Here is a 27,326-nt window from a genome sequence, read left to right on the forward strand (position 1 = left end):
TCCTATGAACATAAATTTCACTGCCTATAAATAAAAGAGCTACATTCCAACATCATGTTTTTCTATTAGACTCCTTTGCTCCCAACACAATTAAGAGCAAAAAAAAAAAAAAAAATCCAAATGGGATAAAAGAGAATCTTCATATCATTCTTCCCTTCTGAGATTTCAACTTAAGAATGTCTCAGTTTCCTGATACAGAAAAAACACTTCTAGGGACTTTAATACGGCTACATTGTTTTTACCAAAAAAGGTCCAAAATGGCACTTTAAGGTCATTTGCAAATATAATAATTCAGATGCAATGCACAAAAGAACATACCAACATTGTCAAAATGGCTATGCTTTCAGTAATGCTGTATATATGATCCCACTAATCCTTACTAAATTCTTAATAATCCCCAGCTAATATTCTGGGTTGTATTATAAAATAGATGTCCAATGCACTGGATACCATTAGAATTCTACTGCTTCACAAAAGCAGTCTGAATTAAACCTGGTCCTCTGCTGCCATCTAGCGAAGTCATAAGATCCCAAAATGAAATCAAAAGTGACAATTGTTCAGATCTATTCAATAAATCATTAAAATACATTAATTATTTCAGAAAATGCTGTTTGTAGTTTTTACTACAAAAACTGCTACAATAATAAATATACTGGAGGATTTTGCTCCAAAGAAAATGTATGCATATTTCCATAAATGTATTCTAGAGTATACAGACCATAGCAATAAACTCCTATAATAAGCTATCAGATGAATAATTACTCATTCAAAAAAGTTATTTAGAATAATATTATCATGGTATTCTTATAAAAGCAAAACTTTCAAAACAAGCTAAATTTACAACCACACAGAAATTTTCAAAGTATGATGCACTTATACAATGGAATGTTCCATACAATAGAATGATTCTTCCCAAGACACTACTGAAATAATAGCAGAGTTTTTTTTTTTTTAAGTATAAAGCTATATGGTCCTGAAAAATATGTCCTGAAAGTCCACAAAATTATTTGACACTCTTAACCTCAAGAGATGGAGCTTAATTCCCCTCCTTTAAGTTTGGGCTAGACTTATATGTTACAACAAATAGAATATGGCAGAAGTGGATTGTATGTCACCTCTTGGGCTAGATTAGATTAGATTATAAACAGACTACTACTTTTATCTTGGGTGTTCTCTTAGATCATTTGCTATAAGTAAAGCTGGCTGCCATATGGTGAGGACACTCAGGCAGCTGTGAGAACCCACTCGGAACCCCAGAGCTGGTATGAAGATTATTTTAACCAGAAGACATTTGAGAGTCAACAAATGCAGAAAGGTGGCTGTTCAGAGCTTTCCTTATCTGACTAAAAGCAGAAACTTCCGGGAATTAAGCTACCATAAATCCTTTCTTCTAGGTGGCTTCACTCCCAGAAAGAAGACTGAGAGTAAAACTATCATAAATCCCCTCTCCAGGAGTTTATGGCCACGAAGAAGATGGAAAAGACCATTCCCCCCCATAAAAACAAACATTTCTTACCTCCTATTTGTTCCTCTAAAAATCCACTTATCCTTCCTAAAGAATTCCATTTTTTTTCTTACACTGAAGCCTATTCTCCACCTTCCCTTTCCACCATTAAATTAGACATACAAACTTGAGACATTAAGTTAGGAATACAAACTTTAGGCATAGTCCCATTAAGTTAGGAATACTAACTTCAACCATCTTGTAAGCCACTTCTTTTATGTGCTTCCATACACATATAAACTTTGTTTTTTCTCTTGCTAATCTATGTTTTGTCAGTTTAATTTGTAGGCCCCTAACTATTGAACCTAAGTGGGTACAGGAAAGTTTTTCCTCCCCACTGGTAAGAAATGGAGGTCTCATGCCAACAGCCAGCTGAGGAACTGAGGCCTGCCATCAACCATACACATGAGCTTGGAAGTGGACCCTTGAAATGACAACAGCCCTGGCCAACAGCTTGACTGCAATCTGATAGACGACATTGAACCATAATCACCCAGCTTAATAGGTACAAAAAAAAAGAATAAATGAATAAGACCTACTATTTGATAGCACAATAGGGTGACTATAGTCAACAATAACTTAACTGTACTTTCCAAAATAACTTAGAGTATCATTGGATTGCTTGTAACAAGGGATAAATGCTTGAGGCTATGGATTTAAGAAAAACAAAAAAGACTCACCCAACCACACTGCTCCCAAGAAACGATGAGACAGTAAATATTTGAATTTTAAACTGTTATATTTTGGGGTAATTTTAGGGTAATTTATTAGAAATGGCTATAACAATGAAGATAATGAAGGGAAGGAGAAAAGAGCATCAGCAGATGCACTATTTCAATAAATTTCTGGTTGACAAGAAATAGACGGAGAAGTACTGAAAAGTGCTGAGAAGCATGCACAGAGGTAGCAGGATTCACAGATGGAGGTGCCTATTTTACAAAACCCCAAAGAAGATCCAGACCCAGAAACATCAAGTGCACAGGATGACTACAGTGACATATGGACTGAAAAGGAGGGATTGGTTATTTTTAGCTATGTACAACAATTAAATTCTCACAACTCATACACACAACACACAGGTTATTCCTCAAGCAAAAGAAAAGAAAAATCAGAGAGCTCTTCTCTAAAGAAACTGAAACAGGGTGGGAGGGTGAACAGAAAAAAAAAAGAAAGAAAGTAAAAGAAACTGAACCAAATGGGTAGTGAGGGAAGAGCACCTAAGCACAACTGCTTATCATAAAGCAAAGGTCAGAAATTGACAAACCCAGCCCACATTCATGGAGCTTCCAAGCAGCTTCTCTGCCTCGTTTCAAATGCACAGCCAACCAAGGATCACCACACATTTGAAGAAACTAGAAACATAAAGAAGAAAGATGATTCAAGGAAGAGAAAGATAACTTTAAATATGCTTTTAACTAGTATTCTCATAGAGATTCAAGAAGCTATCACAACCATAAACCAAGAACAATTTGTCATGAAAAGGTACAGGCAGAGAACAAGAATGTATGTACTATTGACAAAAGCATAATTACCAGAATAAGTAATTCAACAAAAAGAAAGGAAGAAAATAAGAGAACCTGGTACTTGGCACATAACAGACACTTAAAAAATTGTGGAATGAATATGTTTTTCATTTAGTCAATGAAACAAAAAATATATATAGACAGAGGGAAAAGTCTAAAAGCATACACACCAAAATGTAAGCAGCAACCATCTCTAACTGGTGAAATTACATATGTTTTTCGTGTTTGTCCTGTTCCTTATCTTCATTTTCTAACTTTTCTACAATGAATACAAATGACTTTTATAATGGGGAAACACATTTTTAAGACATTATCATTTTTTCATTATAAGACCAGAATCACAAGGCAAAAAAGAAATTTTTACTAAAATGCTTATCAAGTCCAAGTTAGAAAAAGTTTCAACTACTACCATTAATAATAAGATAGGTTTAGTAAGATATAGACATACTCATTGATCTTGACCTAATTAAGAGAATTTGAAAAGCTTGCAAAATAACAGGACACTGCAAACTTATTATTCGTAGCACAGATCAGGTAATTGGTTCCAATACTAGTAAATAAATCTCATGAATCAACCAGTTCTGTATATAAGAAGCCTCTCTTGGTTATTTTAATTAGTTACTTTCAGATTAAGTAGCTCTCATAATGAGAATGTACAGTGTCTTCATTAGACTTCAAAGTGTAAAATCAAATGATATACTCATTTGCATTAATTACCATTTATGTAACAGGTTATGCTTTTCAGAACTCTGTAGCAATACAAGTTAAATATGTAAAATACAGCATTCTTTTAAGTGATCTTCCATCAGGGTATGCCACATTTATTGCTCTAAAGATTTACCTTGATATGGAATAAAATTTAAAAGCCACTTAACGTATTCTGGGCAGCACTACCTATCACAGAGGCATGTAAACAACATTTTAATTTTTATAAAGTAATCCATCTTCATGAAAAGAAAAGATCAAAAGAATTTTCCCAAAAGTTTTATTTTACATTTGTCCCTGACTCGCTGATTACTTTCAGTTTTCTTTTGTATAAAGCATGCATTCTAGAAAAATCAACTATAATTATTTCAAACAATTTTTCACAGATTCACAAAGAGGATAAAGTTTTTTCCCCTTTTTTATCCAAGCCAGCATTTGCCACTTCCATAATCACACATAATGAATAAGAGTATGTGAGCAAATAATGAGTTAAGAAAGTATCACAGAATCGTAAAAAAAAAAAATATGAAAATCCAGTTAACACCTCATCTAACAGATAAGCTCTACTGCTGAGATGGGTCAAAGCAAATGTTCTTCCATCTGGTCAGCAGCACTACTCAATACTAAATATCAATATTCAATACTAAATATATCTTACTTATTTCCTATATAAAATTTAAAAATCCATCTATGAACACCCAATATCACACTCTTAAAATCAAAACAAGCAGTCATATTTCATATACAGTATCAAGTAATGCTCTTTATTAGCTCTTTAGTATCTCTTACTTAGTTGTCTGGTACTATACATAGTTTTGTTATATCTCTTACTACATCTTAAATTGTACTTCATTTTCCTGCTGAGAGTAGGAATTGTACTTTTACTTTCCTCTAGTGTCTTGTATTGTCTTTGAGACCTTCTAAAGCTTACAGTAGCTTAACAGTTATCTATTAAAGCAGTAAATATTGTCTGCAAATATATTTATTATCCCATTAAGTGAAAGGAGCAATGCAATTTGAATTACCATCACAAAGCAATTTGAAAAAAAAATAATAGAGTTTTTCTATTATTTATTTATAAGAGAACAGCCTATATCATATCCCATTATATGGAGGATCAGAAAGTAAGGAAAGAAAACAGCAGGTAAGAAGATGAAGGTATAATGTCTCGAGAAACCAAACATCCAACTCTTAATATTGATTATCCCAAGGGGTGGGATAAAAGTTCTCACAGGGAGAACTTTTTAATTTCTTTTTAATGTTTTATGAGGAAGACAGAAGACATTATCAGAAAAAATATATTTTAAGACAGAAAAATTCATCTATTAGCATAAAACAGTAAAAATAACTATCAAAATATTGAAAAAATAATGAGGACATGACCTGGCAAAAAGGATTCTGGGCTCTGGGGCCAGATCACTTGCATTCAAATCTCAGTCCTGCTACTTACAATAACTGTGTCTGTGACCTTGAAAAAGCTACTTATTCACAATGCTATCTTACAGCGTTGTGAGTATTAAATGAGATAAATGTTCTATGTAAAGTACTCAGAACAATGCCTAATACACATTAAGTGTTCAACAAGTATTACTTGTTATAACTGTTGCTATAGCCAAAATACAGAATGAACTTGTGCAACCACACTAGTATTCAAAAAAAACTGCTAATCAAAGCAATTTTAAAATTCATTTTCCTTTAATTTTTACATCAATAAAATCTTTTAAGAAAAAAATTCATTTTCCAATTGTCAACTTGGCTACATTACTTATATTAAGTGAAACTACCCCAAATTGCCAAGGATGTACACTCAAGCACTGCTGTTCGGAGTGTATCACTACAACCTCTAGCAAGGTATATCAAGGACTTCAAAGGTTTCCATACTATATCTAAGTAATACTATTTTTGTCAAAATTTATGCAAAGATGGGTATAAGAAGATCAGTACAGTTATTTATAGCAACAAAAAAACTGGAGTCTAAATGCCCCTATAATCGAGGGTGAACTATTTTTTCTTGGCAGCAATTAAGTCATTTTAAAAATACATGTTATAACAATGAAATATACTCATGTTAAGATAAAAAGCAGCATACAAAAATAATCATGCCTGAGTATTGTGGCTCAGGCCTGTAATCCCAACACTTTGGGAGGCCAAGGCAGGCAGATCACTTTAGCCCAGGAGTTTGAGACCAGCCTGGACAACACGGGGAAACCCTATCTCAACAACAAAAAAAAGACAAAAATTAGTTGGGTGTGGCGGCACGCGCCTATAGTCCCAGCTACTCTGGAGGCTGAGGTGGGAGGTCGAGGCTGCAGTGAGGCATGAGTGTGCCACTCCACTCCAGCCTAGGCAAAACAGTGAGACCCTGTCTCAAAAAACAATCATCATCATCATCATATAGTTTAGTTCTAATTACCTGCTAAGCCTATCATAGCTAGCACAATCTCTGGCATATGGTAAATGTTCAATAAATATTTGTTAACTACATGAATGAACAAAGAGACAAATTCAATCTCTTTATCCTGTATTCCTTGTTTCTCATTTGTTTGGGTCCAGTAGCCCAGCTCTATATAGGGGAAAAAATGTTTGAAAATATTAACGAAAAATTCATTTGTTTTAATCTTTCAAAGCTTCACATGTTTGCTGCCCCCAGAACCTGGCCAACTGAAAATTCTGAGTTAGGGTTGCACCTATGTTTGCAATCAAAGTTTTATCTGTATCTGCTCAGCTCTAAGAGTTCTCTAGCAGATTTTGGTAATAGGTAATAAATTTGGTTGGTTTTTATTTTTAAATACCATTTCAAAGACAGTATCTCTATTAACTAGTAGTAACTCTCATACTTAGGATTTGATTAAAGAAACTGCTATTTAAGGGACCTTTTTATCCTTTAGTAAATCCTAAAGATGTGACTACTAACCAATGGGTATTTCAAAGATTTGGTTTTAAAATGTTAGATTGTTTTGCCTTTGCTTAATTTTCTTCTTGTGCAATAACTATACCACACCCTAAAAGAATTCTGAGTGAACTCTGGGAAATCAATGTTGGTTCTCATGTAATAATGGTTTTCAAAACAGTCTTCAGTTATAACAACAATAACTAATATGCATTGAGTGCTGTATAATAAGCATTTTATGTGGGTCTCCACCAACTAACAGAGAAATTCTCAGATATGTTCTTAACTCAATAGCTGGCTAAATACTACTTTGAATTGGGTCACTGATTTTTAAATTTTGTTCCATGAGGCACTACAGATAGCGGCTCCCAAATCAGGTTAAAAATCACAAGTAATCGGGGTGCTTTTCAAAAATGCATTTTCTCAGAACCAATCCAGGCTTAATGAATTTGAATCTCTGAATTTTTTTTTAATAAAAGTTTCCTATGATGGTAGCGCAACTGGAAATGCTGCCCTAAAAAGTTCCATGGTAACCTCAGACGCCACACCAGAATGCAACCCCATATGCTTTCCTCAATTTGCAGCAACCAAAGCATTACTGCTTTTATCTGTTTCATATAGGGGGACTTAAAGAAAGATTTAGGCTTGGGGAGGGAGTCAAAGAGTCCTTCTTTTTAAACCAATTTACCACAAGATACCATCAAACGTAGCTTCAGATCAATAAACAGTGTTTCTGAGTTGACCTCTAAATATTCTCTGGTAGTCTCACTTCCCCGTGATAAAAAAGAAACACAGGAGCTTTATTGTGTCCCATCCAGTTGCAAGGAAACTGGCCTGGATCCCTAACTATAGTTCTGATGAAACTACTATTAAAAACAGGGCTGGGGTCTTTAAATGACGAGATCTGGCTTACATTCTCTCTAAGAGTTTTGGTTATCACCAGAGGTATGACACTAAACATTAACTGAGTCCTAAAATTAGTATAGTTAGTATAATTTCCATTATTATGAGGAAAAACTACCTTAAACCTAATTTCATTTGTTTATTTATTTATTTATTTATTTATTTATTTATTTTTGAGACAGGATCTTTCTCCGTAGCCCAGGCTGAAGTGTAGTGGTACAATCTCGGCTCACTGCAACCTCCGCCTCCCGGGTCCAAACGTTTCTCGTGTCTCAGCCTCCCAGGTAGCTAGGATTACAGATGCAAGCCACCACACCTGGCTAATTTTTCTATTTTTTAGTAGACACAGGTTTTTGCCATGTTGGTTAGGCTGGTCTCGAACTCCTGACCTGAAGTGATCCACCCACCTCGGCCTCCCAAAGTGCTGGGATTATAGGCATGAGCCACCACGCCCAGCCAAAACCTAATTATAAAAGCCCAAGTACTAGAATACAGAATGATGCTGATTTTGCCACTATCTACTTACATGATTTGAAACAAATATTTTACTTTTGTGGAGTCTGGTCCCTCAGACACCTCCACAAAAACTCTAAGTTTCCCCAGAACAATTAAAAAAGTAAAAGTCCTTCCCAGACATAACTTTATTTACTGCTGAATTCCTGAATACTAGATATGATGTCATGGCTATAACTGATATTTGTTTGTAAATAATAAGATAGGAGATAAATTCTTATTTAATTCCAATATTCATTTCATCTCTAGTTCTTATGTTACATATCAGGAGCTATTTGCTTTGCTTTCAGAAGAAAACTAGAGCCAAAAAGAAATTTATAAAGAGCTAAGTGAACAAATCTAAATGAAAGCAGTATACACAATACCTAATTGATCATAATTTGACTCATTCTGTTCCTAAATAAGATATACTTTTTTGTTTGTAGTTCACTGAAAATTATTCCAGAGACATCTGAAACCTCTTTAATATTCTCCTCAGCATGTAAAACTTTTCTAGTCTAGCATCTCATTACCTTATCCACACTATACCTGTCTGAACATTCGGCTCCAGTCATTAGCATAAACATACACTACAAACATTATTAATGAGATACATATCAAGGGACCCAAGCAAGCTATTAACCACCTGGGGTAACTGCATGTTTCTGTATAAAAACCTTTAGAGACCAGGCGCGGTGGCTCATGCCTGTAATCCCAGCACTTTGAGAGGCTGAGGCGAGCAGATCACGAGGTAAGGAGTTTGACACCAGCCTGGCAACATAGTGAAACCCTGTCTCTACTAAAAATGCAAAAAATAGACAGGTGTGGTGGCATGCGCCTGTAGTCCCAGCTACTCAGGAGGCTGAGGCAGGAGAATCACTTGAACCCAGGAGGCAGAGGTTGCAGTGAGCTGAGACCACGCCATTGCACTCCAGCCTGGGTGTCAGAGTGAGACTCCGTCTCTACATAAATAAATAAATAAATACTGTTACAGCAGCAAATACAGAAGCTGCCTAAACATACTGCAGTTTATCCACACAACAACTATTTCTACAACACGCTATTCACAAGTCACGAAGTGTATTTGTTAGGGCACATGTAGTATGACCACACATTGAGCACCCTGCTCTAACAAAGGCATAGGACACGATTTTCATGAGAAAAAAAAAATTTGTCTTTCAAATGTATACATTTAGTAAATTACATAAAAAATCTTGTCAAAGTACCAATGGCTTAGCATGAACTTACAATTAATGGGAAGAAATCTTACTTCAAAACTTTAAAAAAGCAAATTTTAAAAAATCTTTATATTAAATATGTTTCCCTACCTTAAGCTCACTTTTTACACTTTCTTACAAAGAAAGAACATTTAAGATGTAAAGACTGTCTTTTAAGGAGAATGTATTCAATGATGGGTTGTCAAACTATGATCCAAAAGCCAAATGTGACCTGCTAATTTGTAAATAAAATTTTATTGAAATACACCCACCAAATGTTATTGAAATACATCATTTGGTTTATGTAAAATCAGGGGGATATGGCTGCTTTTTATCTGAGACAGAGACCACACAACCCACAAATGATAAAATATTTACTACTACGTCCTTCACAGAAAAAGTTTAGAACGAAAACTTAAAGCTGGATTACAGGAAAAACTTAAAGCTGAGGATTCTGTCTTAAGCAGTCCTAATCCATGCAGCACCTAACACAGAGCCCTAGGGGTAAATAAGTTTCCAATATAATTTCTGAATGAATGAATGAATGAATGAATGAATGAATGAATGAAAGGAAGAAGGGAAGGAAGGGAGGGAGGGAGGAAATTCCCAGACCAGGATGCAGGAAAATAAACCTGTCTATAATTTCCTTCAAGAAGTATTATACAAATGTACCTCACCTACTTAAACAGATGTGTTATAAAAAGCTGAATATAAATTACATTTCCATAAATGCCTAAGTGGCTTTTTTATTCCCTGCAATAATTTTCCTTATAAAGCAAGTCCCAAATTTACCTTTTATATTCAGTTTTTCTTGAAGCAGGGTATGCTTGTATATGTGTGTGTATTATATAAATATGTAAGTCAAAAGATATAAATACAGATATAGATACATATGTAAAAATTGCAACCATAGCACCAGCCCTTTTGTTGGTCTGTTACATTATTCCCACAGCCTTACATTTTTCCTGTGTCGAGCATAATCTGAGTTATTATCTTTTACTTTACTATTTGTTTTACAACAGTACTTATTAAAACCATTTGGTTTTTACCTACTGATTCAATAATAGTTGAAATTAAATTTATAGTACTCAAACTCTCAGCAGAAAGAATTAAAATAAAAGGCATGAAAATTAATTCTAAAATTTTTATATAGTTCTAAGTCTTCATCACTTTCAATTGATGTTGAATTATTTTGAAGACAATTTATTTAATTGCATTACAAAATCTGCTAATAAACTAAGTACACAGATAAATCCTATTATAAAATTCTATCTTTTCCCAGAATATGTGTGAAAAAGCAGATTTCACAATTACAAGACAGTTCAATTCCAACTGTAACTGTAGTAACATTATATCACTTTTCCTGGTATTATATTTACACTCAAGTAGAACTGACTCCCCCCTCCTGGGGAAAGCCATGAAAATAATGAAACAAGAGTACTCAAGACAAAAGAAATATTAAGAAAAAAGTTAAATGTATTTTAGGGAATGTCAGAAATTCAACGAGTTCCTTTAAAATACACTTTGATTATTTGGCAGCTTTCAACAAAATTGAAGGACAATCTAATCAAGGAGGCATAAAGACATAGTAAAGCGACTATCAAGTGTAACTGCAAGTCTTTCATTGAGAATCATTTTGTTTAACTCTGAAAGTGGGGGCAGGGGGCAGAGGGAGTGTTATATTTCAATACACCTTCACCAATATTATGGCTAAATAAAATGATTTTATTTTATCAAATGCTTGAAGTCTATTTTCATCAAAATCCCAAAACTGCAGTTTTGGCTGATTTAATCTACACAAAAATGCTTGCTATGTAAAACTCATTTGACCAACTCTCACTAGCAAAACCTCAGCCAAATCGAAAGTCCCACTATCTGATAGGAAAAGTCCAACTTCATTTTTATTCCAAATACACAAGTTAATGAACAATTTTTGCCAATTATCTCACATTTGAATTTCAATGTGAGACAGACAGGCAGGCAGGCAGACACTGACAGATAAAAAGCCCTGCCATACCTGTCTCTTGGATGAAATAAGGTACTTTCACTAACTCTTAATAATGTTCTCTTTGCTGTCTTGGAATCTCCCTCAGGAGAGACATTTGTTAACAACAGCCAAAGGAAGAAAGAGAGGAAATGTTTAAAGGAAAAGTGTCATCACTTTCAACCTACTCCCACTGCCCTACTCTATACTATACAAAAACTGAGAACATCCCAACCCAATCCCAAATATCTTGTTGCTAAATTCAACAGACACTTTTCACTCCTTAGCTTACTAATTCTCTATAAGATTTAACCTTTCTTTGGAGACATTTTTACTTTCCCTTAGCTTGAATGACAGATATTTCTCCTGGTTTTCTCCCACCTCCCCTACTCTCAGTCACCATTGCTTCCTCTACTCAACAGCCTGTCCACATCCCTGTCTTTACTATCACATACTATTGTCTCCCAAATCTGTACTTTCAATCCATATTCTTCTCCTAAACCCAAGGTCCAACTACCTAAATATCCAAAGAATGCTGAGGAAACATGTGCCAGAGGTATACCTAACCTAATTTATTCTGCTATCTTGTTTTCTCAGAAAATAAATTTTATTTACACTTATTTAATCAACTGGGAATTTATCTGGCTATGAGATATGTGCTGAAGCTCTAAATTGAATTTGTGCCAAGCTGTTAATCAATTATCCACAAATAATTTATTATTAGTTAAATAGTTATCTGCAAGTTCTATGAGATAGGGACAGTATCCACACTGCTCACTGCTGTTTCCCCAGAACCTAGCACAGTACCTGACACACAGAGGAATCCAAGAAACAGAAACTATAATTTAGTGTATTACTAAAGTCTTAGTGGTGGGGAATGTAACAAGAAATAATTTTCAAAGCTCAGGAAAAAGTTAAATAAAATTTAAAAATTCAAAAATTCAACAAGTTAAAATATAACCAAGTGCTACGGTTTGAAAATTCATGGTGAAACTTAATCTCCAGTGCAACAGTACTGAGAGATGGAACCTTTAGGAGGTGATTAGGCCACAAGGGCTCTGCCCTCATGCATGGGATTAGTGATCTTACAAAAGAGCTGGTGGTAACTAGCCAGGCCCTTTTGCTCTTCCACCATTTGAGCACAAAGCATTCGCCCCTTCAGCCATGGGAAGATGCAGCAACAAGGCATCATTTTGGAAACAAAGAGCAACCTTCACCAAATACTGAACCTGCTAGCATCTTGATTCTGAACTTCCTAGCCTCCAGAACTATGAAAAATAAATTTCTGTTGTTTATAAATTACCCAATCTGAGGTATCCTGCTATAGCCGCACAAATGAACTAAGATACTAAGTATGATTAAATGCCTGGAAACTTTTTCTAAAGAAGCTCTCTAATCTTCCCAAAACATTCTTAAGATTTCAGCTCTAGAAGACTGTGTTTTCCTCCATAGAAAAGCAATATAAGAATAGCTAGTACCACTCAGGTACAGGCTGAGTTGTAGAGAGAAGAACAGGAAGGAGCCCAGACTCTTTATGACAAAAAAAAAAAAAAAAAAAAAAAAATCGAAGTGCATTTGGGAAGTAGGTGCACAGCATGCACTATATAAAACAGTTGTAAATCCATGTCTTACTTTGCAAAGTTAAGTTAGAACCCTGTGGATCAGAATTAGAGATACTAGGCCTTCCTTTTGACCTCAACTCCTACCAAAACCATATATTTCTCATCTCAAAAGCCTTCCATTATTATAAAACATACTGCAAAGAAATAACAAAACACACTGCTGAATAGTACATTTAAAATAAGCCTTCTGTATATTAACACCCAGTACACAGGCAAGGTGGTCACTATCAGGATGACATACTTCCAAGTGGATCAGCATGACTCAGTTCCAACCTTAGAAGACAGCCTTCACTCAAAATGAATTTATGCATTAATTCTTCACAGCAAAGTAATAATAATAACAATGACAATAAAAGGAGTTTTTAAATTTGTAGAAATGTTAGATTGCCTATAATTTAAAAAGTCTTCCAGATTAAAAAAATCAAACCATACAAATATTAGAAGAAATATGAGAGAATTCTTCTTCAATCTCAGTATAAGGAAAGGCTTTCTAACTATAAATCAAAATCAAGAGGCAATAAAAATTAATAAACTTGACTTCATAAAAATAATAAAATTTTGTATGGCAAAAAAACATGAACAAAGTCAAAAGACAACAGAAAAGAAACAAGGACAGATAATTCACAAAAAAGATAAGTATAGCCCTTAAACATATGAGAGGATGTTTGACTCCATTCAGAATTAAAACTAGAATGAAATACCATTTCTCACTAACCAGATTGGTGAAAAAATTTGCCAACACATTCTGTTAGCAAGGCTGTGGTGGTACAGGCATTCTCACAAACTGCCTGTGGGAATACAATCTGGCACTACCCTTTTGGAGCAGAAACTCGTGGTATCTAACTAAACTTCATATACACCCAGCCTTCAACTCAGCAATCCTTCTTTCTAGAAATTGACCCTGAGGTTAGACTTTCAACAATATGGAGGGAAAGTCAGCTCACAGTTATTCATCACAGCATCATTTGTAATTACAAAATACTGGAAACAATCTAAATATCTCTATATAGGAGAGTCGTTGAATAAACTACTCACACAATGGGTACAATGCAGCTGTAAAAAAAGAATGAGAATATCTGAAGTGAAATGCAGTGGTTTCTAGAACATACTGTTAAGTGGAAAAAGCAAGGTGAAAAGACTATCTAATTCTAAAGTGTATGGTATCTTTCCTAAAAGAAAGGGGAAAAAGAAAAGTGCATCTGCTCATCTGTACAAAAAGAAATGCAAGAAGGGTAAATCAGAAAATGATGAGGCTGATTATTTAAGGGGGTGGGTAGGAACAGAATGAAAAGATAAGAGAAAGGGAAAGGGTTAAAAGGGATAGGAGAAAGTAACATTTCTCAGAGCATACTCTGAATCATAGTAGAGTTTCACACACTCAGAAAAATGAAAAATTAAAATCAACAAAGGATGAGGGCAAACTCAGAATATAAGCAGAAACAAATGAAACTAATTGTATTACAAATGAAAACTATCTACACTAAAGGGTTTGGCAGGAAGAGAGAAAATAATTAAGTAACTTTGGAACACAGTACACTTTATATACCCTAAGGCTAAAGTCAGACCAACTGTTCACAAATATTACACTCTATTCAAATGGATTTCTCACAGTGGCTTTGGATAGCAATTCCAAAACTACTTTATGTGTATTATAGTAAATATTATGGATAATGAAAACCAAGTGTCTCCCTATCAGAGAGAGGAGTTACAAATAGAAAATGAGAAAAAATTCAATAAATCCTATGGCAGTGCATTAGATTTGGAAGTATCAGTACGAACTCGTGATTTTGAAAAAAAAATGTATGCATACACATACATACAGACAGATACTGAAATAGATATAGGTGTGTATTTATGTATATACTCACACACACACACACACACACATATTTCCTAGCTCTATCTTCTGAGAGGGCCTAGAAGAAATGACATCCCAGTACTAATGAGCCCAACTTGTGCACAAAAATTGGTTTCTAAATACCACTCCTTAGAGAAACAGTTGATTCCAGGGCTGGGGTAGGAAAAGTACAAGGTAAGTCCACAACATCTAGGGGTGCCAGAAACAAGAAAGTACTCAAAAAATGAGGGAGAGATGTCAAAAGACAGGAGTCACTTGATGGGGCTCTCAACGGTCAAATGAGACATTTGGAGCAATAAAATAATTACTAAAACAGATTATAACCCACAGAATATAATACGTGTCTATGAGTCCACACTGATAGGAATAAAAAAAGCAAGAAAATAAAGAAATGAGAAAGAAGGGAAAGTTCTTCCTAAGAGCTGAATTCCACTATTCCACTTAGCAAACATAACAGTGGTAACTGTTTCAGGTAAGAATCATTAATGAATGTTAAAAATAATGGCGAAAAGTATAAGAAATAGGATATTTACATGATCTCAGAGTATCTCCCTCACAGCTTCTTAAGTACAAAGGAAAAATAACTTTATCATGGCAGACATGCCTTTATCAATAAATAAAGTACAAACCAAAAATAAAATAATAAACAGAAATAACTTCATCAATCTGGCACACACCAACTAAATCAAGAGATCAAAGTTAACATCATCACTAATAGGAGAATTCAACATTATGTGCCTCCTGAAATGACATGAAGAATATTACTACTGTGATGTTCTTGCAAGCATGCCCAACTTGAATCATGAGGAAACATCAAACAAACTCAATCTGAGAGACAAGCTACAAGATAACTGGCCAATGCTATTCAAAAGTGTCAAAGTTATGAAAGAAAGCCTAAAGAATTATTGCAGAGGCCGGGCGCGGTGGCTCACACCTGTAATCCCAGCACTTTGGGAGGCCGAGGCAGGCGGATCACGACGTCAGGAGATCGAGACCATCCTGGCTAACACGTTGAAACTCCGTCTCTACTAAAAATACAAAAAAATTAGCCTGGCGAGGTGGTGGGCGCCTGTAGTCCCAGCTGCTCGGGAGGCTGAGGCAGGAGAATGGCGTGAACCCAGCGGGCGGAGCCTGCAGTAAGCAGAGATCGCGCCACTGTACTCCAGCCTGGGCAACAGCGAGACTCCGTCTCAAAAAAAAAAAGAATTATTGCAGAAAAAAGAAGAGACATGGCAACCTAATGAAACACGTGATCCTGGACTGGATCCTGGACCAGAAACAGGGCATAATATTGACACTTTTGGTGAAATCTGAATAACGTCAATAATCAATACATCAATGTTAATGTCTTGATTTTGGCCATTGTACTGTAATAATATAAGATGTTAACATTTGAGGAATCTGGTTAAGGGCACATGGAAATTCTTTGTACTATTTTTGGAAGACTTACTAAGTCTGACATAATTCCAAATTAGAAGATTTTTTAAATGCTTAATTATTAGAGATCAAAAACTGCAACCAAAAGTACTCAGAACTATAAAAACTAAAGACATCTCATTTTTAAAAGTATGAGTTTATTGAAATACACGAAACACAATTAATTCTTCCATCAAACAAACTTTCATTTCATCTGTTTCTGAGATTACAGTGGCTTAGTCTCCATCAATTCACCTATTACAACTAATATAAATTTCTCACTGTTTCATTTTCAATAACTTTCATATTTCTGTTTCTATTACCTGGCTTTACATTTCAGAAATATTCCCTATTCTACAATGTTTTCAAATCCATTAAAGTTTCCTGTCAAAACCACTCCAGGCAGGGTTCAATGGCTCACACTTATAATCCCAGTACTTCAGGAGGCCAACAGGGAAGAATCACTTGAGGCCAGGAGTTTGAGACCATCCTGAGCAACATAGCAAAACACAATTTCTTTAAAAAAAAAAAAAAAAAAAAAAAGCCACTCTACTTACTGTTATCTCCAGGCCCTCAGGCCTTGGTCAGGCTAATGCAAAATTCTTACACAATACCTTTTACTGTTAACTATATCCAGGTTTCCTATTACACTCAATTTCAGAGATCCTTGGTTTAAATATTGTTACGAGATATAATAAATTGCCATTAAATTATGAAATAAGGATAATAAAAAGAAATCCTACACTGTATCCTGACATAGCTTTAACGACGATGGAGTCCAGGACTCATAGCTATTAATCAGTTACTCTTATTTCATAGCCTCTAAGACCATTCTACAGCCTCCTCAGGCTCTTTTCACCTTATTCAATCACAGAAAGTCCCTCTTCCATGCTACTGTACTTAAATCCTAGTGCGCAAAAGATAGATTTTACACTGGCCCAGAAACACCTTGCAAAATTTTTTCTCTCCCAGAAAAAAGTATCCTAAAACAGAGTAGGTATTCAATAAATACTCAGGGTTTTCCTTTTGTTTTTGGTGGAGCCTGGTTCTAGGAGAAATTAGATATTTCCATTAGCAATCAAAAACATCTTAACCAATTACTTCATAAAAAATTACTTTAGCCAATCATCTAGGGGTCTAACAATACCAACACACAGAGAAAGGGGTACACAACTACAGAGGAGGAACAAAATCAACAAAAGTTGGATGGCAGAAACAAGAGACAAATTTTGCAGGCTTTATTATTTTGCCCAAAGCTTACCATGATACTGTGAAGAAAGCAATGCAGAAAGTAAAGAGTATATAAGGCCAGATGTGGTGGCTCATGCCTGTAATCCTAACACTTTGGGAAGCCAAGGCAGGAGGATCACTACAGCCCAGGAGCTCAAGACCAGCCTGGGCAACATGGCAAGATCATATCTCTACAGAAAATTTTAAAAATTAGCTGGCCATAGTGGTGCATGTCTGTAATCCCAGCGACTCTGGAGGCTGAGGTGGGAGAATGACTTGAGCCCAGGAGGTCAAGGTTGCAGTGAGCAATCACTGTGCCACTGCACTCTAGCCTAGGCAACAGAGTGAGGACCCTGTCTCAAAAAAATAAGATAATAAAATAAATTTCAACAGAAAAAAAAAAGAGTACCTAAAATATGAAACTCCTAAGAGGTTAAATGTATGCCTCAATCCCAAATCCCCAGTTCATTTCGTAGTGTAAAGCCTAGAGATAGACACCTTGACCTCACGTTTTCCACTCTTTCTCCACCCACAGAAGTAAGACATTTGTTAAGACATTTTTACGTATCTATTAAAATGTATGTCTCAACAACATCCTTAACATCCTTACTACCAATTTAATAGATTCTGAACATAATCTAACCCAACATATTAAATAAATATAATTTTAATATTCTGAAAATAAGCAGAAAGGCTAATTTTCATTTATCCATCAAAAACACATATCCACAGGGAAGGGTGCAGAATGGGTAAATGATCCAAATTCTGTTTATGGATCTATATCTTTCTTTGTATAACTGCTGCAAGCACACAAGGCACATTTTTTCATTTCTACACTGTTTCAATTTTGCATTATACATTATTATTAATTTTTAAGGCTAGTTCATTAAGGAAGTTCAAAATAATATGAACAAATAAACATATAAATATCAAATACTTGTTATTTAACTACTTGAATTAGTACACAAAGCATTAATAATAAAAACCACAGGCCAGGCACGGTGGCTCACACCTGTAATCCCAGCACTTTGGGAGACCAAGGCAGGTGGATCACCTGAGATAGGGAGTTCGAGACCAGCCTGACCAACATGGAGAAACCCTGTCTCTACTAAAAATACAAAATAAGCCAGGTGTGGTGGCACATGCCATAAACCCAGCTACTTGGGAGGCTGAGGCAGCAGAATCGCTTGAACCTGGCAGGCGGAGGTTGTGGTGAGCCGAGATCGTGCCATTGCACTTCAGCCTGGACAACAAGAGTGAAAACCCGTCTCAAAAAATAATAATAATAATAAAAACCACACCTGCCATATAACCCAGAGAAAAAGGTCAATACCATAAGGACAGTAGTGATAATCTCTAGGTGATAAAATTTCTTTTTTATTTTCTTCTTTTTTAATGTTATTTTCTGAATTTTGTCAAATGAATATGTCTTACCTATAAAATACCCTAAAAAAGCTAAAAAATGCTAAACTGAGGGGAAAAATTGTTTCCAACAGAGGCAGACAATTAAAATGAATGAAAATATTTTTAAATATTCCCAATAAAAATCAAATATAATAAAATACTTAAACATTCTAGAAAGCATATAATGTTAAAATATCATTATAGTCACCTAATAATGAAAATAGGTTGTATCTGCTCCACTTCTTTTCTCCATATATATCTTTTAAGGTAACTACATGTTAAATGGAGATGGAGATGGCATGATACAAAGAGTATAACTGCCACTTAAGACTTTCCAAAACTCATAAAAATTAAATAGAATCTGTCATCTTCAAAATAACACTTAAAAGCTAATATATATGTACTGCCAGTTATTCCAAAACATTTTATTATGAAATAGTTAATGACTTCTATGTTAATATCTGTTAAAATAATTATTTCAACTTGCTAAATGAATACATACATATAGCAAAACTGTAATAGATGCAAAAAAATATGGATTACAAAAGAAAAAAATAAAATGTTGCTGAGGAAGAATAAAATTTCTACTAATATCTTGACCAGCCTGGGCAACATAAGGAGACTTCATCCTTACAAAAAATTTAAAAAATAGCCAGGCAGGGTGGCACATTCCCATAATCCCAGCTACTCAGGAGGCTAAGCTACTATTCAGGAGACTGAGGTGGGAGGATTACTCGAGCCCAGGAGTTCAAGGCTGCAGTGAGCCTTGATCGTGCTAAGGCACTGCCGCCTGGGTGACAGAGCAAGATCCTGTCTCAAATTAAAAAAATCTTAAAACTTAGAAATATAAAATTTGAAATTAAGCTTTGTTGTAATAATGCAACAACCTTGCGAGTATATAAAGAGAATAAGGCAAATTATTCAAAGGAGAATACAGAATGAATCAGAGAGAGTTCATCATTTTTAGATTACAAACTGGCAATTTATCTATTAACCTCAACATGTCCAATATCATTAAAAAACAAGGCAGTGGGCAGCAGACATACCAAAAACCATATCATTAAGAGAAAAACACTTTCAAACTTAACATCTAGTTATAGATTTATGTTAAACTAGCTAAGCTCTGAAACCAAAAATTTAGCAGAATGAGAGATAACTTGTGCTATACAGCTTAGAACACTAGCAAAACCAAAAATATATAATTTTTGAAACATTTATTTTGCTATTCACATTAGAAATTCACACTCTCAAGAGTGTAAACTTTTCTAACAATAAAACAATATTCTTCAAGCATTAGGGTTATTTGTGTAATTTTTTTAGAAGTCTAACTTACCGAGTACCATCTGCTTTCCAGCTTACTTTGTATGGCTTCAGGTCTAAAAGTTTAATATTTTGCTTGTCCATGGAAACAGGCTGTGCTCCAGGGAATCCAGACCTTAAAGAAGAACACAGTATTACTATCGTGGCTGGTATCCATACAAAGCAATACATGTCTTAAACCAATCTCAAATGAATCACACATTTATCACAATGTTCTCCCTATGATGAGATTAATGTCAGCTGGAATAACATCCGCTTTCACAAAAATACTAATAAAAGATTATCATTTTCTTGACATTTTAGAATGCAAGTTAACAGAGTTCTAAATTACCACTGCTATGGTATAATCACTGAGCTAATTTTAAAATATTAGTATATATGATCTAAATAGTAAAGCAGGTATGTTTACAAGTCTTGTACTTCAGGAAGAAGTTTAAATCTTGGCTTAATTACTTTACATGATATTCTAGACCCCATATTTCCCCAACGTGAGACTGCCAACTTGACATAACTGCAAGGTTGGCAACTTTCTCCTCAAAAGATACCCAGAAGTGACAAAACAGGAGAAATATGGGTCAAGATTAAGGCTTAACACAACATTAAAACCAAGGGTGTAGGTCAAGATTAAGGTTTAACACAACATTAAAACCGATCTTATTTCTTCATTGTTTTCATATTTTAGTTAAAACTACTTCTAGATGATTTATCTAGTATTTATGTAACAGTAATAAAAGTTCTTTTCATTAGGAATTTATATTAGGAATTAACAATAATCCTTTTTCCTTACATTCAACTGTATTACAGTTCTCTGCCACAGATACCAATGATCAGCAGAAATGACCACAGGCCAAGACCTGAGAGCAACAGATAAGAGCAATGTATGCTCTCCTGAATCCACTACGAAATGTCTGAAAGATATTTTCAAGTCATGGCATTCACTGCTTATATTTAAAGCTGATTTTCCTAGACTTCTGATTACAGAAAAACTGGAAAATGAGGCAGATCCAAATTTCACCTCTTCCCTCTTATCAAATTGAGAGACTAGCTCAAACATTAATCAGTAGCAGTAGAGTCAAAGACACGAAACAAATACTAGACAGTGAAAACAAGAATTTTCTATTACTTTAGGAAAATATGTGAGTCATCTAATTTTGACTCAACTGTCTGGTTATTGCATTGATTGTCTTGAACGAAATCTGACACCTTTAAAGTATTCTATTGCAAACATACTAACTTCAAGGAGCCAAGAAGATATGTCAATGCTTGTATTAAGTGTTGTAAAATAAGAGCAAATTTTATTTAAAAATTTAAAAATATTTATTACCCTTCCCAGCCACAGAATTGATGACACTTCTGCTGTACCTCTCCTAACTTTGGTTGTGTTGTTACTTGAGTTACACCTTTAACAGTAACACCTTCCAAGAAAATAGCGCCCTTTAAAAAAAAAATAAGAAAAATAAGGGAAAGAAAAATATTTTATTAGAGTTCAAATTCATTTACAAAGAAGAGACTGAGAGATAAATTAGTTTGTTCTCACAAATCTTAGCAAGTCAATATATCTAACAGAAACGGTCTGCTGTATAAACTCCCCTAAGATTGTACACTAGTTTTCCTAAATCCAGCACATGGTTTTCTTCAATATACGTATGTACTCTATAGGCACTTCTCAAATCATAACAGTAATAATAATTTATCTACCATTTATTGAGATCCAAGCAGAATGTCTGGCATCTTGCAAACATTCTCTCTAATCCTTACAACACTGAAAAAATAGACTGTACTGTATTTATTTCAAAGATGAGTAAATAAGGCACAAAGATTTTATGTAAATCAAGTGGTAAAAGACAGAATTTGAACAGGCCTACACTATACCAACCACCAATGGAGAGAAGGGGAAAGGAGCTGTGTTACTATGAATGAAGTATGGACTTTAAGGGGATAAACACCAAAACCTCTATCTTTGTAAACCAGAGTAAGAGTGTAGGCAAAGTGGCTAAGCCACAGTCATTGGATATATTAACATACTAATAGAACAAAATATTACTCATCATGGAATTTTTAATCTAAATTTTTTAACTCAGAACTACATATTTTGAAATATCACAGCGAAGTAAAGCAGACAGAGAATATCAAACAAATAAGGAACCCTTCTGGAAATTTTTAAACCTAAAAAAAATAGTCTAGATGTATGCTACAGTTCTTTTAAGGTCCATAAAGGGACTGGCATCAGTCTTAAGAAAAATCTATAAAACAATTCTAGCTGTTAATGTAATTAGGCAATAAAAAAGTTAGTCTACAAGCTACAACGTTCAACCTTCTGGCAAAGACCTGGCAATCTGAGCCACTTGAGAAAAGAAAAAAAGAACAATTAATACTTCATCCACATACATTCTTGTCAAATCTGGAAGAATCCTGAGTCCTTCCAGCAGACACTAGTCCTACTTTTTGTCCCTAATTTTGAAGCACTTTTTGTACTTATCTGTCTTCTACTTTGCTTTCCTTAAATAACCAAAATTTAGGAATTTCATAAGCCCAAGGATCAAAGAGTACCATCCCTCTACTATTATACCATTATTTCTCTGTACTAGCCAATGGCATTTCTGTTTAAAACCATTTTTATCATTAAGTACAACAGCTAAAGGAAAAAAAGAGTATTTTTAAAAGAAAGCTCAACCAGATAGATGAGGTTTGTAACATATTTACTTATTGAGTGCTCAGATAATTTCAATATCCTTAAAAAATTGTTTCTTATGCTAATTAAAAAAGAACACTTCTTTTTAGAGAGTTCAATATTAAGCATCCTAATTCTGATGGTATTAACAGCATGAGATGTTCTTTTTAAGTTTTACACAAAGAAAGTCTCTAGCTTCATTTATCAACGTGGATTTCCTATGCAAAGTTAAGAAATTTACATTAACTTCTGAAATGGGCAAAATAAAAGCAAAGGCCAAATTAACCTAAGTTACTACTAAAAACACAAACACTATTTATATTTTTAACATATAATAAAAAGGACTAACACATAGAAAATATGATCACATTCAACCAAGCACTTTCCCACAATATTACCACAGAAATATTTTAATAACATTTCTATGGGGTTGAAAAAGCTGAATATTTTTAATTTAACAGAGCCAATAAATACTGAGCATCAGTACAGATCTAACAACTACTGAGTCTGGTTATAAAAGTTAACCCCAATCACCTAGTAAATGTCTGTCATCCATTTATTGTTCTTCTTCCTTAATCTTTCCTACCATGCATCAACTTCTTTTTTAACTTCCTCTATTTTCTTCCACAACAAATAAGTAAAAAGAAAGGTAGAAGTCCAATAAAAAAAAGTATGATACACTTCATACACAAATCATCCTTGGTAACTTTAGGCTAACATAATTTGCTATTTAATGTTACTACAATAGTTCTGACAAAATACCATTTTTATATTATTCAAAATTATATAACTCCAAGAAAGACCACTAATTTTTTTATTTATTTCTAGATGCAGTTTCTTTAATGTAAGCCAATTCTGGTTATTTCTACCTAGAGCTGAAAGCAACCTGAAAATACCCATCTTCATTTTCATGTTAGAGATCTAGAAACTGTTTCAAGATTCTAAATGTGCAAAAGGTCTAAGAGGGGAGAAAATAAAATCTTTTAAACAAGCTTTGCACGTGCTGATACTGCTCATTATTTCATTATATCAGCCCTTCCAAATCTTGAATTTGCATTTTTAACCAGTGTTAGAAAATCCTGTATTTCCCTCCCTGGGAAATATGGGAAGCATGAGCCATGACATATTCCTGAAGCTAAATCTCAGGGCATCACCTCTCACAAACAAGAGATCAAGATGCTTTTCATATTTATTTTATTTTAAAAATCCACAATGGATAAAAGAGAACAATCATCCAGGATGTAGGTGCCAGACACAGGGCAGAAGGTAGCTAGAAAAGTATGCCTTAGGGAAGTTAAGGGCCTAGCCTCATCCCTACCTTGTTTTAATAGCTGTACCTAACATAAACAGCTTAGTTTTCCATTGTTGTAGCTTCCTCTGCCCCATTTACAAACATGGCACAGCCGGCATGCCTTGCAAGGCCTGAGTTGAAGGACCGCATGTACACACAGACCAGTACAGCAGTACTAGGCTAACTAGAAGGATATCATCCCCATATGTGATCTCATTCCAAGTCTACAGCTGACTACCTTCATTGTTATGTATGAGATGGTTTCACTCCTTGAAAATATGGCCACTTCAGCATAAAATAGTTAAATCTTTATAATGGAAAGATCACTAATTCTAAACAGTGGCCAGATGTGGTGACTCATGCCAGTAATCCCGGCACTTTGGGAGGCTGAGTCAGGAGGACTGCTTGAGCCCCAGAGTTCAAGACCAGCTTGGGCAACACAGTGAGACCCATCTCTATTTATAAAAATAAAAAATAAATAATTAATTTTAAAAATAAATTTTAAATAGCAATGTCTTCGGTCTGGAATTATTGTGAACATACTATAATTGAGTATTAAAGTCACTGACATTTATTTTCACTTTTCAACAAATTATTTCTGTTTGTGAAAATAAAGAAAAATCGAAAGTTAAAAAAGTATGTTTATAGAAATATATTTCATAAACAGAGTCAGCTAGCCTTAAAATTAAAATCTGCATGGCTATCACAACAGAAATGAGTGATCCTTTAGACAGAAATTTAGTAAATATTACAGAAGATGGAGGCAATTTATGTGAGAGAGAGCTCTGTGTGTGTGTGTGTGTGTGTGTGTGTGTGTGTGTGTGTGTAAAGAGAAAATGTATACAAGAATATACGTACAACAGGCATATTTTCATAATGAGGAAAATACATTCATCGTTGTATTCAAAGAAATGATCTCAGACATCAGTTCAAGGAGTAAGCAACATACCTGTAAGTCATACTCTTCCAACTTAGTAACACATGTACTCAAAAGATGAATAAAGAAGGTGTCTTAGGAATGTAAGGGGCCAAGCACAGCATCGGACATGTGCCACAGTTATAAACCCAAAGAGAACTATCAGAATTAATTACAAGGAGTCCATTACTTGAATACATAGTTATATCAATATAAGAATCAGAAAAGACTGTACTTAACAAAAATAAAGTCTCAAACCAAAAATACCTTCATTATGTCAAGAGATGTGATCTATAAAATAGTCACTCTTAGATTGCCTCTGTTAACTATCTTCAACCTCAGATGGAAATAAAAGAAAAATGAAAGCTTTTCCAACCATAAATGTAATAAGTAATTATATCTGTGCTTCTCATCCCTGTCAACCATAGGTCAACTACAGTTGACACCATCCACAATTCAACTCTTCAGTCCCCTTTCTTCTCTGATGGTTTTGTACTCACTGCTTTAAAGCCCCTTTTCCTTGGTTCATCTTATCAATAATCACCTTCCCAAAGAGTTCCAATGTAAACCCTGGAATTCCTTTTTCATAAATAACCTTCCCCATCACCTCAACCATTTTCTTGAACACCCCGTACCGTGTCTCAACTAAAAGCTAGCTCTCCCTAGACAGATCATGTCATCTTAAAGCTACTTATTCTCCCACAGCCCAAGATCCATGGCAGTAATTTAAACTACTGTTCTATACCTCCTCACTGCTTTCCTAATCTCTTTCAAAAGGCCCTCTTGTGTTTACACTAATTCCTTTCAGCTATACCACTCAGCTGTAGTAAAGCAGAAATCCACTGTGGGTACTGGCATAACAACTCTCTTTAAGGGCTGCCCTCCCAACCCACAAAGATGGGGCCTAATAGCTATTTTACATGACATTACAAGATAACATCCTACTCCAGCCAAAGTTGATGGGAGCACGAATAACCCCTAACTCAATCTGAAGCCATCAGATTCTCTCTCCTGGTAATTTGGAATTGGGATTCCGAGACAAGCAGTTAGTCTCTGCATGTGGCTAAAATTATAACAGGTTACCTTAGAAGCTTCGAGACAGTTAATGATCTCCCAGGAAAATCAGGAATCAGGAAGAGCCAATCTTGAGAGACAGAGACAATGAGAAGACTGATACAAATAAAGGGACAAAAGCAGAGATGCGATATTAAGAAGAAAGAGCAGAAACTAGGTTCTAAGTAACTTTCCAGGTCCAGGTTCCAATATTGTCCTAAAATCTGGCACATTCCAGTGCCTGAGTTCCACTAATTTACTCATGAATAAGTACCCTTAATATTTAAGCCAGTTTAAGTTATTTTCTGCTGTTTACAGTCAGAGAGTCTAAACTAGTAAAACCCTCTATCCTTTGTGTATTGAAAGATATTGCCCTACATTCATCAAAAAAAGTTGGTCTTTCTGACTATTCTAACCTCTATCATTATATTGGTAACATCAACATCCATTGAAATAACTCGACCTGTTGTACAACCTTTACAATAGGTCATCTCATTTACAATGACCCTCATCTTTGTCCAACTGGAACATCCTGCTCCATGGCACTACCACAATCATTTCAAACCACTCTACCTTTTGATTCAATACAACTCACATTGATTGAGTGCCGACAGCATTCTAAAACTAACATGTCACTATAAACTCTTTTACTGTCACTCTGCTCACTTTTCAATTTCACCAAGACTAACAGTCCCTTCATTTCTCCTTTACATATTCTAACAGCACCCTCATCCTGACCTTACTTCCTATTCAGCCTAGAACCTATGGCTGATTACTTCAATTATTTTTCCTCTGACAGCCTCAGTGCCCCTTACCCTCTTGTTCTTCATCACACCCAAACTGAATTTCTCCAGCCTTGAGTCAACCTACCGTTAGTCTTTTCCACTCTCATACATAGGCAGCTGAAACTTACTGAGGAAAAAATCACAATCTCAATTACATCTCCAGTACTAAGAAAGATATTTCCCTCCTATTGCTGAAGACCTATTACTCCAAAAACTGCATTTGACCTCCATTCCCTTGCACTTCCTCAGAGATTTCTCTATCATTATTCCCCAAATCTTTACTTTCAACTTCATTGACTTCACTAGCTCCTTATCCACACTAATAAATATGCTTGAATTTATCCCATACTAAAAAGCCTTTTCTGACTATGTCTGCATCAATTACCCTTCTGCTCCTTTTTTTATCATAACCAAGCCACTTGAATGAATAGTTTATAGTAGTGTGCAGAAAAGGGTTAACCTAACACTAGTGCTTGCAAAGTTGGCTCCTGAATGGCACCTGAGAACTTGACTTTTGGAGTGTTCTCAGTCAACTGATAAGG

General features: G+C 34.9%; 1 protein-coding gene across 5 annotated transcripts in view; it reads right to left on the reverse strand.

Annotated features, from left to right (window-relative positions):
• The window catches only part of RNGTT (RNA guanylyltransferase and 5'-phosphatase), a 353,722-nt gene that overhangs the window by 260,517 nt on the left and 65,879 nt on the right, over positions 1-27,326 (reverse strand). For all 5 annotated transcript variants that reach the window (NM_001286428.2, NM_001286426.2, NM_003800.5 and 2 more), the window contains 2 exons: positions 21,393-21,502; positions 20,082-20,183 (listed from right to left, as the gene is read on the reverse strand). In NM_001286428.2, the coding sequence (NP_001273357.1) occupies positions 20,082-20,183; positions 21,393-21,502 (212 nt within the window). The remainder of the gene's footprint in view (positions 1-20,081; positions 20,184-21,392; positions 21,503-27,326) is intronic.

The sequence above is a fragment of the Homo sapiens genome, chromosome 6 (assembly GCF_000001405.40).
Source record: "Homo sapiens chromosome 6, GRCh38.p14 Primary Assembly".
NCBI lineage: Eukaryota > Metazoa > Chordata > Mammalia > Primates > Hominidae > Homo > Homo sapiens.